The sequence below is a fragment of the Homo sapiens genome, chromosome 5 (assembly GCF_000001405.40).
Source record: "Homo sapiens chromosome 5, GRCh38.p14 Primary Assembly".
Classification (NCBI taxonomy): Eukaryota; Metazoa; Chordata; class Mammalia; order Primates; family Hominidae; genus Homo; species Homo sapiens.
The window spans coordinates 86,398,637-86,418,655 of record NC_000005.10 but is presented as its reverse complement, the minus strand read 5'-3'; the positions used below and the strand labels follow the sequence as shown (position 1 = coordinate 86,418,655).

Sequence of the window (20,019 nt, the reverse complement as noted above, 5' to 3'; positions counted from 1 at the left end):
ATGGTACTTATTGATACAGAAATTTTTATTGATGTAATTTTGCTCTAAGTGAAAAAGGAAGTAATTGATAAATATGACTAAATTTATTAGTCATATTTCCAGTTTCTTAATCAAAATTGTAATCAAAATAGTCTCATCCTGTACTCTCCAAAAGTTAAAAAATAATTATAGTAATCAAAGCAATGTTTAGCAGTATTTTCTTGATGGGTTGCCAATTTATAAAAATGTACAGCTAAACTTTCATTTCTTTTAAATTTTTATTGTGTTTTTATGCAAATGAATTTGTTAATATATTTGCAATGCTCAATATTGATAGATACGTATATATTTATGACATATACAAAACAATCATATTGTTCCCCTTGTTATTGTGGAATTATTAGTTTTGTTCTCACTACTTCATAAAATAAATTATGTGTCAGTTTCAGAGAGAAATGTAGTTTCAGTGTGTATTAATCTAGGTAAGAGGCAATATGGCATCTTATAAATATTAACAGTTTATTCTGAATTTTTAAGATTTGGGTTTATTGTGATTTTTAAACAGCTGTGACTTATAACTTATATATCTATCCCATCCCTTGCTGGGTAATATTTTTAAAGTTTCAAAAATGAAATATGCTTTCCAGGGGGCATCTGTTTTGAGAAAATGAATACAACAGAGTTATTATCCTTTGGATTCTTAAAACATATTGACTTATCCTTATGATTATTCATTATGACTTCAAAGGAGAAAAATTAAACTTAAATCACTTTCTGCTTTTGTAGTATAAGAACAAAAAGTAAGCTGGCAACAGGCAGAGGGAGGGAGAGCAAGATTGCTACGTGGAGTACTAATTCTTTCACCCTGTCAGAATGAGAATAAGATGCTTTATGTGACCAGCATTTGAATTCCTCAGGGAAAAAAGGAGATAACTGTAATCTTCCATGCATCAGAATAAGTGGCAAATTAAAAAAAAAAAAGGTATCCAGTACAAGAGCCATGTTTATTTTTGGAGCTTTAAATTTGCCTTTGTCCTGATGTTTAAAATATAGTCCTCATCATCTGAATACACACCTTTTAAAATCAAAGATTATTGTTGCCATGCTTGATTTAGTGTAGTTTAGGATAAACTCCAATAGGATCTAAGTCATATAATCATTTGGATTTAGATGAGCAAGAACAAGATTATTAAGAGACTCAAGCAATCTAGCTTCAAACTATAAACTTCCTTGTGGCTAATCTAACAAAAATATCAAATTGGCACAATTTGACTCTGCAAAGCAGATTTTATTTTGTTTGAAAACATGAGTATTTGACAATAAAAAATCAGAATTATTTGGTGTATTCTACAGGTACATGTGTAGATTGCAACCTCAGAAAAGTTGAAGAAATACTATTTTTGATATAGTTGATTAAAAGTAACAAAAGTAGCTAATCAGCTAGTTAACAGTGTTTGAAAAATACAAACTGTTGGGAGAGAATACCAACTGAAAGCAAGTAATCAAGAGACAGCTGGAAAGAAGAATTAAAAAAAAAATTCTAAGAGCAAATGTAATGGATGAAATAAATTCTGCATATGAAAACCTGAAGTCACAAAAATGATTAACCAGAAGGCTGGTGTTTAATTTCAATGGAAAGTATTCTTTATCTAATGAGATTAACCCAAAGGACCTGTTAACAATGCCTTACATGTATTTCAAAATATTATCTACTTAACAGAGGCCTGGGACAAACAAACTTTTAACTGAAGAACTGAAGATGCCAGAGCTAATATAAGGATAATCAGGGGGAAAAAAGAAAAACAGCAAAGTAACTCTGAAATTTAATGTAAATCAGTGAAAAAAAATTCTTCTATTCTTAAATTTGGATTCAACCTAGCGATTTATTCAATGAATTGCAATACTCTTGACCATATCTTTTTGTAGTTCTCAATAGTAATGTAGCACTTTGCCTATTGAGCTTGATTGCAAAAGTTGCCCAGGAATTAACATGAGGTAGGTATGTTAAGAACTCAGAATTTTGTAGGAGGAACTATAAATCAATTGAGGGGAATCAAGACTCCTAAAATGTTTTGGAAATGGAGCAACCTACACTATGTTATCTTATGTTAGATAGAGCAAGACATTTCACGAAGAATTGTCTTGAGGCAGTATATTTTTCCCCCAAAGGATTGGTGTGGTTGTCAAAACTTATGGTGGTTACATGTCCTTTGATACATTTGAACAATTAAGGCCAGTTGCTGAGATAGAACTTTATCAGAAATTATATTGTTGATTAAGACTCAATGCCAAAGTAGTTTGATTTTCCCTCCCCATCTTCAATCCTGGCCTAGCTAGAACCCTGGCCTACCTTGCTCTCTCTCTTGCCCTGCCCTTTAAAAATCCACTGTGAGGCACATATTTTAATCTGTCTTTGCTTGTGGGGCAAAGAAGGTAGTAGCATTTCTGAGCCTACCACATATATTCAGGTAGCTTCATACCAGTGTTTCTATTCTTTACAATAAATGCTATTGGTCATATATAACCTTCTAGTGACTCAATTCTACATATCTTGTCAGAGATATTGGATATGAAGTGATGAATTAAAAAAGAAAATACATATAAAATTTAATTCAAAGCATTTAATTACTGAGATAAGCTTCAGGCAGAGAGAGATGACAAAATATTTGTGAAGGAAATGTAGAACAAAGTACATTTGTTGGCATATCTTAAAATTCAATGGAAATAAAATTGTTTTGATCTTTTACCATATCTGTAGCTATTTCAGTATTCACCACTTTTTACATAAAGTAATAAATTATATTTAAAATTTTCATGATATTTGGACATGACCATTTTAAATACAAATGTTTATATTTTTTCTGGTAAATTTTTTCTGTTAGTTATGAGTCTATTTAGAAACATAAATGAAATAATTTGTGGGAGCTTAATTTCTGTTTGTATCAATTTGCATGTGTGTAGCATTGCTTATGCAAAATAAATGAAAGCAAGAACTAAGAAATCTAAATAAATATACATTTAATTTTTATTGTAAAATTTAAAATTATGCACATTTGTAGATGTCTAGAAACACAATTAAGCAATTAATTATTGCATAGACAAACTAAGAAGTTATTAAAACATTAGCATATTGTGGGATTGCTATTTGAATTATTTATTTATTTATTTATTTATTTATTTGTATTTCTTCAACATATCAAACTGAATGGCTTAGACTCTTGCAAATGGATCATTGAATCAATCAAATTCTAGAAATGACATGCATTAGAAATGAGTCAGAGTATGGCCTAAAGCAAACCTGGCCAAATACCACGATCCCCAGAAAAGCTTTTTAAAATACAAACACCCAGGCTTTCTCCTTGGAGATTTTTATTCCGTAAGGGGTAAGAACTGAATATTTTAAAGTAGGATCTTAAAAAGTATTCCATTTCCTTTTTTTAAAAAATTTTCCTCCATCATATTTCTTTGCCTGCTTTGGTATTATTGTATACAAATATTTCCTTAATTGAGCTCTGCTGCCGTATTCTCAAGGGTTGGCAGATTTTCTGTTTTTAAATGTTGTGATTAAATTTGATAACATATTGTTTGATTCTATTTATATGAGATGTCCAGAATAAGCAAATTTATAGGGACAGAAGGTAGATTAGTGGTTGCCTGGGGTGGGGAGAGAGGGAAAATGAGAGAGACTGCTAATGGTTATGGGGCTTTCTTTTTGGGGTCATGAGAATGTTCTGGAATAGACAAAGGTGATGGTTGCCCAACCTTACTAATATGCTAAAAACCACAGATGGTAGTTTACTTTAAACGGGTGAATTTTATGGTATTCGAAAAAAATCTCAATTTTAAAAAGTGGTAAAGCAAAAACAATGTTTGATGATAACACAGAATTTGATATTAGCATGTTCTGCGTTTTGTGGATTACTGCCAAATAACCTACTGCCAAATAAGCCTGATATTGTTGGTATCAACTTGTGATACGTAATAATCAGAAGTAAATGGAAAATTTAAAAGAGGAGGATTTGATATATAAAAAATATATTTGGACAAGAAAATGTCAAATAGGTTGCACAGTTTTTCAAATAGAGGAAAGTGGTGAGGGAATTGAATTGGTACAGTACAAATGCTAGAACAGGCAAGCCAAACTCAGAGAGTGGGCACCGGCAAGTCAGCACATTTACATTGTGATCAACATTGTGCGTTTCATAAGGCAAACTATGCTTGAAAATCAGCCCGTGTTTTTAATTCCATCATCTTTTTAACACCATGTCAAGCTAATTTTTTATTTTAAAAGGAGAGATTATTTCCTTTATGGAAATTTCCCTTTGTTGGTGGCTGTGATAGTCCATCTTTGGAACCACCCTCCTCTTTTTATTTTATTTTTATTTTTTCTCCTCTTTTTAAAAACGATTTTTTTCTTTTTTGTACCTCATTTGTACTTGCTTTTACATCTATAGATAGATAGAGATAGATATGTATATATATAATAAATATATATTAAACCTATATATCTATTTTAGAAGAAGAGCACAATGAAAACTGTAAGAAGGAATCAAAAATAATCTGAGCTCATCTTCATTTATCTTGTAATTAACCATCCAAGGATTTTCTTAAGAATTTTATTAAATGAATTTAGAGTGAAGCTTCATGTGAAACAGAATGTTTAAAATGACTGATTATAGGGTTTGCCACATACCCTTCTACCATGTAAATATGTTTATGTTTCTGAATTATTTTGGGGTGAAGAATTTTAATTGGTGATTTTGTTTTTGTTGTTAGTAATGTTTTCATTTTTAAAAAAGTATACACACAGTGTAGAAAGGCAAGAATTGAATTAAAAGTGAATATAATTGTTTAATACTCCTAATAAAAAACAAAATATTGGCCGGGTCACGCCCGTAATCCCAGCACTTTGAGAGGCCGAGGCGGGAGAATCACGAGCTCAGGAGATCGAGACCATCCTGGCTAACACGGTGAAACCCCGTCTCTACCAAAAAAAAAAAAAAAAAAAAAAAAAAAAAATTAGCTGTGCGTGGTGGCGGGTGCCTGTAGTCCCAGCTACTCGGGAGGCTGAAGCAGGAGAATGGCGTGAAGCCCGGGGTTGGAGCTTGCAGTGAGCCGTGATCGCTCCACTGCACTCCAGCCTGGACGACAGAGCGAGACTCTGTCTCAAAAAAAAAAAATAAATAAATAAATAACTGGCATCATGTCAAATGCTAGTTGCATTAATAAGTAAAAGCTTCAGATATGAGGAATACATGTAATATTGTAGTAAGAGTATTTCTTCTTAACTTGCTGGTTAGTAACTAAAGCCATTTTATTTATGTGCTTACTATGTGCCTGGACTTGTGTTAAATGTATTATATGGATTCTATTTGCATTTCTATTTTACAGTGGAGAAACTGAGGCTTAGAGAGAATTTTAATAACTATTACATTAGAACAAACAGACAACAAATAGATAAATGGCAGGACCTATAGAATGATACAAGGCAACACATATACACTTTAGATAGGATGAATGTAAATGAACTCAGGTCATCTGCCTCCAGAGCTTGCTTTCTTGCTTTGGTAAACATCATATCATATTCCCACATGCCATGTGGTCTTTCTATAGTAACATCTGACTGTGCTAATTTGGCATAAACAACAATCATTCAGATATAATTTTTTTGTACACAGCAAAATCTGTTGAAGAACTCTAATATGTCTTACTCCCAACACTTCAATGAAAACAATGGAATAAGAATTTAAGCTATTTATACTTATTATGGAAAGTATATATAATACATAAATGATTTTAATAGTGTATACTCACAAGTTACATAATACACACAATGTAACGTTAGTATATTAATGGGAATTAGGTACATTTATTATATTAATAGCATTATTAAAATGGTGGCTAGAGGTGTGTTCTTTTTAATAATGGCATAGCTGTAAGGGTTAATCTAATTGCTTAATTTATCATCATTTCTGTTAAGCATTTCTGTAGTTCCTATGGTGTTTGATAATAGTGCAATCAAGTTTAGAGTCATCCGAACTCTAATTTTGACCCATTGTTTTAATATTTACTAAGTAGCCTATAACTTTATAGCACTACTGATAATACTTTAAAATATTTTTCCACTTCAAAAGGTTGGCAGATTACTTCTCTATTAAAAACTGGATAAGCAAAGACACCTGTAGTAATTGGTTAATAGAGGGCTAATAAATTTATCTAGGAAAATCTTTTTGGATAATGAGGATTTTCACCCATGGCTTAGATTTTCAGTATGATACTCAGTTGTACATAATATTGTCTCATTCATTTATTCTATTTTGTGGGGGAGGGTTGTTTTTTCCAAGCTTTACTTAAATGATAGGCTCTTCAATTCAAGGAGGAAATAAAATTTTAATTTAGCCTCCTTTGTTTCAGAATTAGAGAATCTGATTTTAAATATTTTACTTCATAACTGGTTGTCAATTACCTATTTTATGTATTTCATAAGGTGTATAGTTTTGCTTTTACACTTTCCTTCTTCCTTTGTTATTTTATTTCCTTTTGTTTCTTAGCAATGGAATGATAAATTAATGTTTACTGAACCACAATATCTCTGTTAACTTATCAGTATTAGCCATGGATTCATTTTCCTTTTCATCATGATAAGAAATGCATTGCTTGATAAGAATATATATCCCAGACAGGCAGTTTCCTTGTTGGTATTCTCTGTAGATATCGCTTCCAAGGGAAGAAAATTTGTCTTTTGTTGGCAAATTGTTATTCTGCTTGTTACCTTGCTCTCATTATAATGTCTTCATCTTAGCAGTGCATGATTTCTGTGCACAGTATGTCTTGCTGTGCTTGTGCTGGTTTTAGTACTGAGATGCTGCTTTTGACATGACAGGAGTCAGTGTCCTGGCAGGTGAAATCTTTCAAAGAACTGAGTGATGAATTAATGAAAATAACTATCTGTGTTTAGATATGTAGAGATCATTGACTCATATACTGAGTCAATGTTTATCATGTGCTGCTTGTGAACAGATCAGTATAAAAAGATGTGGAGAATGTATGAGGGAAATGAAAAACTTGATGCCTGACTTTAAGTAGTTTATAATCTATACTCTAGTCATAGTCTCCATATCCAGAGCTTGTGGTGTGGCCATGCAGTTGTAGAGCGAGAAGAAATTCTTTCCCAGATTTACCTTAAGTATTTCTTTCACTTAAAATATGTTAATCTTCCAAACTAAAATCACCTTTCAAGGAAGAGCCAATGGGGTATGTTTCTATCTGCAGCGTATGTAGCTTTAGAAGGCTTCCTCTCTGATGTGGAGAAATAGGAAGGTTTTACACTGTTGGTGGGAGTGTAAATTAGTTCAACAATTGTGGAAGACAGTGTGGAGATACCTCAAGGATCTAGAACCAGAAATACCATTTGACCCAGCAATCCCATTACTGGGTGTATACCCAAAGGATTATAAATGATTCTGCTATAAAGACATATGCACATGTATGTTTATTGCAACACTGTTCACAATAGCAAAGACTTGGAACCAACCCAAATGTCCATCAACGATAGACTAGATAAAGAAAATGTGGCACATATATACCATGGAATACTATGCAGCCATAAAAAGGATGAGTTCATGTCCTTTGCAGGGACATGGATGAAGCTGGAAACCACCATTCTCAGCAAACTAACACAAGAACAGAAAACCAAACACCGCATGTTCTCACTCATAAGTGGGAGTTGAACAATGAGAACACAGGGAGGGGAACATCACACACCAGGGCCTGTTGGGGGCGGGGGAGCTAGGGGAGGGATAGCATTAAGAGAAATACCTAATGTAGATGATGGGTTGATGGGTGCAGCAAACCACCATGGCACGTGTATACCTATGTAACAAACCTGCACATTCTGCACATGTATCCCAGAACTTAAAGTACATATATATATACACATACATATATATATATATACACACATACATATATACACACACACACACACACATACTTAAAAAAGATGACTTCCTCTGTGTTAGACACTGAGATAAGCTTTTAATGTGCTGGATATTATTTCCATAAATCTGTGAGTCTCATATCAGACATAGGAAATAAAGACTTCATGATAGTAAGGAACTCAGGTTTTTCTGACTCTAGAAGCAGAGCTCTTAATTACTGTATTCAGCTCAAGAAATGCTTCACACACTACATAAATGTATTTCTACCCACCAAACAAAATACAGATGAACCTTGAAAAACATGAATTTGAACTGCATTCATCTACTTCTACTTAATTTTTTAAATTTCAATAAATATATTGTGCTTTCTATATTGGCAGGTACTGAATATGCAAGCAAACGCGGATCCGAAATCCAGTATCCAGGATGTGAAATCCGCCTTTAGAGAGTTGACTTTTCTTATCTGCGCTTCCACAGGGCCAGCTGTGGGAATTATGAGGGGATTTTGGTGTCTGCTGATACCAAGGATCGACTGTCAATTGCACAATTGTCAACAAATTCCTTTTCTCGCTTTTCTTAGGTTTTGCTTTTCCATCTTTTATGGAGTATGATTTACTTTCAAATCGCCTCTGAAGAAACCTATTAGTCAGTCAACTGCAGAAAAACTTCTCCATAATATCTACCTGGAATATATCTTGCTTCCATTCACCTTCTTCCTTTGTCAATGTACGTTACTCATGGTTGCAATTCCTACTATGCCACTTTTCAGATGCACATATTCTTCTTCAGAGGCTTGTTGTTGTTATGTTTTTAAGTAGATTCAGGTTTTTATTCTCTCATTACAGAGTTCAGTATTCTCTTTTTTCTTAAGGGGTTGCTCCTCTCTACATTAAAAAAAAGTTTTTCTGTAATATGTTCAAGTGTGAATCTAATTAGCTACTGTATAAACAGATAGGATGATATTTTGTGGCTTTATATTAAGCCATTAACAAGCAGACACTTTTTATCTTTCTGGGTTTCAAGGAGAAAGAAATTTAACAATTTTTTTATTCAGCAAAATAACTTGAACATATTTAATATTTTATAGAGGTGGTACTTTCAACAGTACTGTGACTCAACACTTTTGCTTTTCCATTTATTTGTAAGGAAAAGGCAGAATGCCATTTGGTTCATTGACAAACAGGATAGAAAATATGTCTTTAGAGTTGGGGTGGTTTGTGAAGAAAGGAATAGGAGTTGAAAGAACATTTGAAGTAGGACCTCAACTCCTTTCTGAGAGGATTCATCTAAATTATATGGAACTGCTGTTCTATGTTCAGGGCATTCTTCATTTGAATCCATTTGGGAAACATTTTGTCCTATAACAGGAGTGGGGGACTTTTAGGATTAGGGTATTTAAAAGGATAGGGAAACACATGTGTATTAATTACTGCTGCTAAATATTTATATCAGAATTTATAATACACTCCTGTTAAATAATACAGATATGTTGAAATGTGATAAGAATGTGAAAAGTAACCTAAGTAAAAGATGAAGATGGATTTATAATATTTATATATATATATATTTACAATAGTCAATAAAAAATATTCTTTGTGGGGGTTGAAGAAAAGACCAAGAGCATACAATATATCAACCAACATTCAAGATCTGTCTTCTTCACCTGAATAGGTCCTGAATGTTAATTGATTCATATTTTGGAACATGAACATTCATGTTTTGGAAGTTAATGCAGAATATTTTTCCTGCTCCGTATAAAAATCATATAAAACATGCAACTGAGACACCGATCTGGGCAAGGGCAAATGAGAGTAATCATCCAATTTTTTCTCATTACTGAGAATTGTCAAAATGCCGTGAGGGTATACTTTGCAATAGATTGGCATTTCACAGTTTACTTTGCACATATCTTAATCATTGTGAATCTAAGAGAAATAGTTAATAAGGCATGGGCTTTTGCAATGAGTTTTTTGCCTAGATGAAGTAAGATGCTGGCACTTACAATATTTCATACAGAATCTTTCTTTGCATTGCTCTCACAGGACTCTCAGGAGGAATACAGTCTTTGTCAGTCATAAAGGAAGGAAGAGTCAATGACATAGGATCCCAAACACGGCTAAAATGTCTCATATCTAATGCTGTACTCCCCCTCTTAACCAAAATTTGTGTCAGGAAAAGGCACAAAACTCCACCAAAGGATTACGGTACCTTAATCCAAGGAAGTTGTATAGAGGCTAGTATTTAAAATTGTCATTTTGATAGGCCCCACTAGTGGATTTTATCCCCTGTTAGGTTGGACAATCCTCAGTATATACACCTTACTACACAAAGGTAAGATTCTGGATGAGTGAGGCATATGCCTGTCTTTCATAAAGTGGGAGCAGGGCTATCAGGAATATCAGTTTGGGAAAGAATAAAGGTCTGGGACCTCACTTTCAGAAAGAGGACATATAGATTTTGAGGATTTAGAAATTGATTTTTAAAAAGTGATCTGTTAATTTTTCATAAACCTTTAGGTCATACATACCTCTGTTTGATTTCAACAGCTTTCTTTGTTATTACCAAAGAGTATTCAATCTCTTATTGTTGTCTGCTGTCTGAAGCCTGTTTTACTAAGATGGCACCTGGGAATGTAGGGAGGAATATTCCTCCCTTCCTTTCTCGTTCTCTCCTTCTTTCTCCCCCACCTTATTCTTTTTCTTCTTCCCAACCCCTTCCTTCCTTCCTTCCTTCCTTCCTTCCTTCCTTCCTTCCTTCCTTCCTTTCTCCCTCCCTTCCTCCCTCCCTTCCTTCCTTCCTGTCTCTGCATGTACACTAACTGACATTTAATGTTCTCTGGAGCCATATGTCTTGCGCACTCAAACTCTGTGCACTCTGCAGGTCTCTAACACTAAATTCTGCAGAGAATATAACTGTGATCTGTGTTAGATTATTTAGGCAGTCTGGATGGATACAGTTTTAAACCATATTTAGTAACATTAAGCACACAGATTCAAATCAAGATCTCCTGAATCTAATAATCCAAGTTATAAACTCATTCTCATTTACTCATCCCATGAATATTTATTAAGCATCTTGAGCATCTACTCTGTTCCAGGGTCTGTGCTCAGTTGTTTTTTGTTAGTTTGTTTTTTAGACGAAGTTTCGCTCTTGTCACTCAGGCTGGAGTGCAATGGCATGATCTCAGCTCACTGCAACCTCCGCCTCCTGAGTTCAAGCAATTCTTCTGCCTCAGCCTCCCGAGTAGCTGGGATTATAGGCGCCTGCTGCCATGCCCAGCTAATTTTTGTATTTTTAGTAGAGACGGGGTTTCACCATGTTGGCCGGGGTGCTCTCGAACTCCTGACCTCAGGTAATCTGCCCGCCTCGGCCTCCCAAAGTGCTGGCATTACAGGTGTGAGCCACCACGCCCAGCCTGTGCTCAGTTTTAAGAAAAATAAGATGTGATCTCTATCCTGCATGAGCTCACAAAGGGCTTTGTGAGATTAAATGATAAGCAAAATTTGCTAATAATTACTATGTAAAAAGAGTTTATAACTGAGAGGTTCACTAAGTATTCTTGGAGAACAAGAGGGGGAAAAATGATTATGTCTTTCCTAGGGGAGTTGGGAAGGCTTTAGAGGGAAGGTCGTGACCTTTGAGCAGTGAAGGTACTTAAAACACAGTTGCTGGGAAAGATCCATTTCAGCTAGTGGCAGAAGATAGACTACTGTTATATACAGGAGAATATATCTCACCAGCTCTCTGTTTATGTGTAACATTTCTAGGTAAACCTAGACATTTTAAAACTGCAATAGAAGCTAAACTGTTAGCTACTGAAAAAGCTGAGAGTGTTGAAGTGAGCAGAATTTGCTTCAAATGCAATATCCAGGGATTTTGGAAGATGTATTTCATTTGATATATTTTCTGTCTGCTTTAAATGTATAATATAGCATATCAAAGTGATCCCATTTTATTACCCAAAATAATGCACTCTATTATTCTTATTCTGTCAGTTTTATTATTGTCTCATGCAATTAGTAGATTTAAAAATTAATGTCTAACTCAGGATTTCTCAGCTACAGAATTATTAAACTTTAAACCATGGATTCTTTGTTGTGTGGGGGCTGTCCTCTGTGTTGTATGATGATTTAGCAGTATCTCTGAACTTTACCTATTACATACCGGTAGAATACCCTAGTTAGGACAACCAAAAATGTCTCCAAACACTTACCAAGTGCCCCACCGGGGGGCAAAATCACCCCAATTGAGAATTATTGGTTTAGTTTGACTCCAATATTTTCGAGTCCTCTTGATTTTTTACATTTTTTAATCAGATGTTGTCCTAGAGTCATCCTTACTTATCATTTATTATAATATTGTTATTACTATAATCATTATTTTGTGCCTGGATGTTCACTAACAATGTATTGTTCTAAGCAGATATAAGTGCTTTCCTTGGTCTCATCTAAGATTTTCTTAGGCAACAGAACCTGGCTGGGATATTTCACTTAGTGATATAGATCACATTTTTCCTTCCTCATATAAATAGAGGCATTAGGTGATTTCAAATAGAATCACAGGGGAGGCAGAAGCCCAAGGTTTATTACTACTCTTGCCTATCCTGGGTCATGTCTTTCATGTATGTTTTCACAATTCAGTAGAATACAGCCTGAAATTCTTTTGTGGTATATAAGTTATAGTAAATTTCCCTGGTTAGCCAAAGGTGGGGAGAGAGAGATGAAGAGCAGGAAGAAAATGGATGTTAGGAAACACCATTCTTGCTTCAATCTGAACTAGCTGTGTTTTCTACTCCCATCTAATAGAGGTAGCAAATCATGAGAAAATGAAAAGAACAGTTATTGTTCAGAGAATTCTCTGAGATGCTTCCCAATTTAAAACTAGGGGCAGGCAGGCCAGGCTATGATACTAAGAACAGAAATAAAACCGCATATTTACCACTTCAGTGCTGTTTCCTGATATAAGGAAAAAACATCTCTCTGCTTACCCTCTGACTCTCCAGGTTTCTTCATTAAATTGTCAAAAGTTCCATTGACCATCACAGAAATTGAGTTCCCTATTTTCTGAGCAAAAGGGAGAACGTTGAATGAATGGTAAATGAACAATAGTGTTTTAAAGAAAACTTAGTTCAGCGGTCACATTACAAAATGCAGGATACTCAGATAGGGAAAGGATCATTTTTCTCTCTTAGCATTTTATGTATGTGGGAACACATAAAAAACATTTTAAACTACTTATCTTCTTAGAAACCTCTGGAAACTGCAAAATCTAGTCAATCAAAATATACAATATTACAATTGCCAAAGAATGCTAGTTTGAAATTCCATTGTAGGATCTCCTCTTCAGAATCTGTTAAACACAGCTCTGCTGGGGTTCTGGGTAAAATAAGCTGCACAAATAATTATTTTTTGTTGCTTTTAAGAGCTAATTTAAGATACTAAAAAGTTAAATATATATATATATATATATATATATATAAAATCTCAAAAATAAGTGATAAAAGAATCACTGAGAGATAAGTAAAAAAATACCCCAACATTTAAATTAATAAGATAAATACTGTAGAGTTAAATAAGGAGGCTTTCCTGCAGCTATTTGCAGGAGAGTCTTGTTGCACTTGCATAATAGTGGCATTCTAGCCATAGGGTCAATCCTTGTAAAAAATCTAGAGGAAAAACCAGGATGAAATGGCTGTAAATCGGTAGATCAAATTATTGTTCTGTTTTATTTATCAAAACATGCATGCACGTATTTAAATGAGTTAGGTAGTGCCATGCAATTTATGAAGACTAAAGAAGTCCCTCCTCCCCTTTCCTTCCATATATTCCGTTCTCCAGAGAAAACCAATTCATATAGTGATTTCCTTTTCAAATTTTCCATGTATTATACTAACGTTGCTATTTTTTAATTTATAGATTTTCATCATAATTTATTGACTTTCTGCTATGAGAGATGAGTGTGCTCGTGTGACACCCAATTAAACACTTAATCCATTCAATTACATGAAGTACAAATTGCTTGGTAGGTTTTTAGTGAAGTTTACTTAAAAAGATGGTCAATCAGTTGGAAGGTATTTCCTTCTAAATTTTTTTACCTTCTGGGAAGGACATGATGACTGGAATTGTAGCAACTTCTGTGACCATGAAGTAACACCAAGGAAGGGAGAGGTGTTTGGCAGAATAGTCCACCAGAGAACCCACATGTCCACATCCTCATTCTTGGAACCTGTGAATATATTGCCTTATATGACCAAAAGGATTTTCAGGTGTTATTAAATTTATGGACCTTGACATGAGGAAATGTGACTGGAGTATTTTGCCTTATATGGCAAAAAAAAAAAAAAGACCTTTGCAGGTGTGATTAAATTTATGGACCTTGAGATGTGGCAATGTTAATGGGTTATCCAGGTTAACTCAAACTAATAATATGATTGCCACAACTGTGGTCGAATAATGGAAGAGTCAGAGAGAAACTCTCTTTAAAAAAAAAAAAATCAAAACAAGCTTTATTTAAGAAGAGTTTCCATAATAACTTTGTTAAAGCTGCAAGCAAGTTTTTTTTTTACAATTATAATTCTAGAGACCTAATGATCCCAGTGTTCAAAAAAATATTTTTTAAAATTAGTAACAAAGACAAACTCACACCAAAAAGAAACAGCTTTTATTTGGCTGGGAATGTATAGCTGTTGGTTTCAGCTCTGCTCTAAAATAGGCTCACCAGTTTTTTTGAAATAAGTGAGATAGAGTTGTCCACAGAAGGAAATATCTTTTAATAAGCAAGCTACTTGTAATGATAAATATTAGGTGCTAATTTGAAAAGGCCATTGGGTGCCCAGATATTATGGCTTGAAATATCTGATCAAGTATTATTATGAGTTTGTGAAGGGATTTTGACTGAATTTAATGTTGAACATTTAAATTGGTAGACTGAATAAAGCAGCATACCCTTCTTAATTTAGGTGGCCCTTATCCAATCAGTTAAAGTTCTGAATAAAACAAAAAGGCTGACCCCCTCCACCCCCTACCAAATAAGAGGGAATTCCTCTTACCTGACCGTCTTTAAGCTGGGGGGCATAGATTCTTTCTGCCTCCTGACTCACACTGAAATACCAGCTCTTCTTGGGTCTTGAGCCTGCTGGTGTTCAAACTGTTACTACAACTATTGGCACACCTGGTTTTCAGGCCTTTGGACTTGACTATAACTACCCCAATGGCTTTCCTGTGTCTCTAGCTTGCTGAGTGCAGACCTTGGAACTTGTCAGCCTCCATAACAGTGTGAGCTAATTCCTTATCATAAATCTCCATCTATCTATCTATCTATCTATCTATCTATCTATCTATCTATCTATTTATCTATCTATCATCTATCATCTATCTATCATCTCCATCTGATTAGTTGTGTTTTTCTAAAGAACCCCGACTAATGCACTTCTTAGTCAAGAGTATTCACTCCTTAGGAAATACACTTCAATAACAAGGCCCGGGTTGTGGGATATCTGATCCAGCACTAGTTTCATAGGGAGCTTACAGAATTGTGAAGTCAGCAGTTGTTACCATATAGTATGCAAAATAGGAGCATTCACTGAAAATGGGGAAAGGCTATTGAGGAAAAGGAATTTTCTCCAGTTTCCACCCAGCCTTTAAACTTGCTAAAGTTAAATTAAAGGCTGTGTTCTGCAGCATCTTACGGAGAATATTAGAAACAATTAAACAAAATATACTCATGATTAATTCCCAGAGAGACTCTGTTTGAAAAGAAAGAGGAACCTGGTCAGGGTTTCCATAGAGGAATCTACCTCACATTGACTTTTGTTCTCATATGATATAAAACATTAGCCAGAGTATGTTCTACCACAGGCCCTAGCTCATGCCACTCATAGGCCAGTAGGTGATACCTATTGGTGGATACATAAAGCAAGTTCCAAAGTTAAGGAAACCATGCTGCTCTTGCATGGTGAGATAGCTAGAAAGTAAACCCCTCAAAAATATATTTGTAAACCACATCTGTATTGACAACATTTTTATAAAATATTATTTCATGTTGAGGAGGCTGCTTTAGGCTCTTCTTTGCTTGCTTTGTCTACAAAGTTGGTTTTTTTTTTTTTTTTTTTTTTCCCTAAGACGCAAGTAGCTTTTAAATTTCAGGCAGAGACTTGGCTGTCTCTGTCTTCAAGAAATTGACGTAAAATCTCAGGGCATCTTCTTGTCAATAGCTAGAGAGTAGTGTTTACCAATGAACTGGTAGATCTTGGTTCCCTTTTTGCTCTGCCAATAATTAGGTTTACTAGCTCTGAAGATGGAGGAAAGGACCTTGATTCAGGGAATGCAAGCGATCCCTAACAGCTGTGAAAGGCAAGGAAAAAGATTCTCTCCTAACACCTCAAAAAGGAATGCAATTCCAATGACACCTTAAGTTTAGCTCAGTAAGACTCCTGTTTAACATCTGACTTACAGAAATATAAGATACTAATTGTTTTGGTTAAGCTACTTAGTTTGTGGTAATTTGTTACAGCAGCAATAGAGACCTAATACAGAAGCCAATTTTCAGAATATGGGAACAGAAATATGGTAGGAACTTGAAACACTGATGACTTCATAAAGCCCTGGAAGACTGCATTTGAACACTGGGTGTGTGTTTGTGTGTGTGTGTGTGTGTGAGAGAGAGAGAGAGAGAGAGCACATGAAACTGCTATGTTGTGTTTTTTTTTTTGCCTAGTCTTTGTTTTTCATATCAATATCCCATTCTTCAATAATTTAATGAAGACTGAGCTCCTTTATACATTCACTTCCTTTCTCTCATCCTCCAAACGAATGCTTCACTTTTTGCTGAAATTAGTATCCAGAGTTATTATTTAAACAGTGCAAATAATTAATTGCTGAGCCAAGAGATCTACTATATATTTCTTTTATTGAAGAACATTTTATTCTCCAGAAAACATACACATACGCACGCACACAATATTTTCTAAATGATCAAAGCTGTAAGATTGTCTGCTTTTCTCTTCTTGGGGATCTCCTCCTGGAAACTCCCATTCCCCTTTTCCATCCAGATTGGTTGTACGGGCTTCCTGGCCACCTAAGATTTTGAGAATTACTTTCGCCTCTTTTCTATGTTGGATCCTCTGATTCTTGGATTCCTGTCTTCGTTTTCTTAGTTTCCTCTCTAGTTTTGGTGCAATACTTAGTTTAGTATATCTGAGAAATGATACATGAAAAGTAAATTTAAAAAAAAGATTTTGCGTGTTTGAAGCCATCTTTATCCCAACTTTACACTTGCCTGATATTTGGGGTAGGTATATGATTCTAAATTATGCTCTCTCCGAATTTTGAAGGCTATGCTCCATGATTATATAATTTTTAATGTTGCTGTTGAAAAGCCCAAGGCTACTTGTTTGTGCTGTTCCTCTGGATGCTTTTAAATTCGCTTACTATTAGGATGTTTGAAAATTTCCAGTGATTTATTTTGCCGTGAGTCTTTTTCAAATAATTGTGTTCAGCATTTAGTAGATCTTTTCAATTTGTAGACTCATTTCCTTCAGTGTTAAAATATGTTCATAATATTCCTTCAACATGTTCTTTACTTTCTTGTGTTGAGATTCTTATTAGTTAGATATTGGCTCTACTGGATTAATCTTTTATTTCCCTTTCTCTCTTATTTTTCTTTTCAGTCTTTGCTATTTTATACTACTAACTAGGAAATTTTCTTAGTTTTATCTTCTATTACTTGTTTTTTTTTCTTTCTCCGTTTTCTATTCCTTGAGGTTTTTGATAGTTTCTAATCATGTTTCTAGCATCTTTCTCCGGTCTTGTGAATTGGCACATGTGTCATCTTTCTGAACATATTAACTCTAAATTTATTTGGATAAGTGTGTACTTTCTTGCTCCTGTATTGTTTCTGTTTTTCCTAAGTTTTGTCTTTATACTTTGTTGTGGTTTGTAATGGTGGAAGTTTTTGGAAATTACTCAAAAGTCTTTGGTAGCTCATTTATATTTGAGAATAAGCAATTCAGAAACATTTGAGAGCTTTGTGTGCATGGCCAGCCTTTTTGAAGATCACCTTTACAATAGAGTGGTTTTTCCAGTGAAGACACTTAAATGTTGGTTTATATAAATCTTTTCTCTAGTGTGGTTTAGGATTTTTAGAAGAGAGTTTTTAATCTCTTTCCTTGAGTCTATAAATACGTCTCTGGATTTTCAACTATTAGGTTGGTGCAAAAGTAATTGTGGCTTTTACCATTAAAAGTAATGGCAAAAAATTACCATTACTTTTGCACCAACCAAATAATTCACTATTTTCAGCACATCACAGCATTTTCTCTCTTTTGTGTTCCTGATGTTTTCAAATCCAGAGCTTTCTTCATTCAGTCTTTATAGGGAATGATGTTTTCCACCCCCTTCAAGAATAGAGAAAAGATGTTTGTCAGGTTGAGCTAGGAGGGAGAACCTGGTGCTCTAACTGCTCCCTCTTTAGATTTTTGCTTTACTGCTAATGTTTTACTACTGACTTCTGCAGCACCTGGTACTTCCAATTATGGGGAGTTCCAGAACAAATGGAGTTGCTTCTTATAGACTTATTCCTTCATCTTCCTTTACTCTGTACATTTGGTTTTCATTTTTAATCTTTCATCCTTTATGTATTGTTTTACATTACAGGTATCTACTAATTTATTTGAGGATGAAGCTGATGGCTTCTGTTTTAGTTTTAAATGTAGTTTTTGGTTTTGATTTGTATTTTTAATATCTAAGAGTAAAGTATAGCATTAACCATTTATCTTAAAGTTGAAATTTCATTTTAGACATATTTAGTGCTCTAACAAAATTTCTCAATAAGTAGTGCAATTTAGTTTTCTATTCAAGTCTGATTTGAGTATATAATTTAAGGTATCCAAGTTTATGGAAGTAAAACAATAATTTAGTTGCTTTTAACATTGGAACATACATTTTTTTAATGACATGATTTATCTTAAACATCTTGTTAAGAATTAAAAGAGATTGTACAGGCAAATTTAGGTATCACAGAGGCAAAACCTACGCATTTTGAGAGGAGAATTCTCAATGTAGTCTTATTAAGCTTATACTCTATGTCTGCAGTTAAATGAGCAAGATCACTGATCATAAGAATCTCAGTACTGTGCTTTTCCCACTGTACAGCCTGATGTTTTGCTTGTGCTTTACAATGATATAAAGGTTACAGCTGAGTGAGTGAAAAATTAAGGCCAGAAACATGAAAGAAACCAAGGCAATGAGAGAAAAAGCATTAATACTTTCTAGAGTCAGAGGTGCATAACGAGAGAGAGAAATACAGAAATACTATGACTTGCTGTTAACAGTCTAGCCATTGTCTAATATGTTTTTCAAATTTCTGTTTACTTTGGTCCACTATCTACATTTTAAATGCTTGAATTATTTTTTATGTACGATTGTTGAATCTGACTTAAAGACCAAATAACATTATAAACTATACACATAGTATTTTTATTTTTATTAATTTCTTGGGTAGATTGTGAATTGCTTTGGTATCCCAGCATGCAGCAAAGTGCCTGTATATAGTAGCTGCTTCATGAGTCCTTGATTGAATTAAACATTATGATTAACTAAGCCCACAGCAAATTCTGAATAATCTTAATTTGCAAGTTCACTTTTTTTCATGTCATTTCTGGAAACATTTGCATTGTTTTGATTTTTTTATTTGAATGTAAAGCCTTGACAGAAAGAAAATTTTTTATGTGTTGGCAACATTGTTTAAATTCTTGTTTCTCTTTCAGCACTTATCACAGCATCTTATGCATATAAAATTCAATATATATCTGTTGATTGTATAAACTACAAAGAGACACACTTAAGTTGAAATCAATAGGGTAAGAGAAATACTTACAATGAAATGACAAGGGATAAAAATATCTCTATTTTCTCAGAAAACCATCTTAGAACATATAAATTGTAAATTAACAATATTTAATTTCCTTATAATTTAGAAAATATTTGTGAGATGTTAGTTGCTTTGTGTAGCAAGTATTATTACCCACATTATGTAAATGAAGAAACATAGGGAGGTTAATAAGCTTGTTCACAAAACACCTCACCACTAAAAGACAACTTTA

General features: G+C 34.1%; 1 long non-coding RNA gene and 1 pseudogene across 3 annotated transcripts in view; one reads left to right on the top strand and one right to left on the bottom strand.

Moving 5' to 3' along the window:
- The window catches only part of LOC105379064 (uncharacterized), a 77,685-nt gene that overhangs the window by 11,563 nt on the left and 46,103 nt on the right, over positions 1-20,019 (top strand). For 2 of the 3 annotated variants that reach the window (XR_001742789.2, XR_948535.3), the window contains 2 exons: positions 8,500-8,645; positions 9,962-10,046. The exons of the other annotated variant lie outside the window; for it this stretch is intronic. This is a non-coding gene — a long non-coding RNA (uncharacterized LOC105379064). Of the gene's footprint in view, positions 1-8,499; positions 8,646-9,961; positions 10,047-20,019 lie in introns of those variants that run through there. 3 annotated transcript variants of the gene reach the window in all.
- LOC100421863 (ASH2 like, histone lysine methyltransferase complex subunit pseudogene) lies at positions 15,714-16,327 on the bottom strand (annotated as a pseudogene).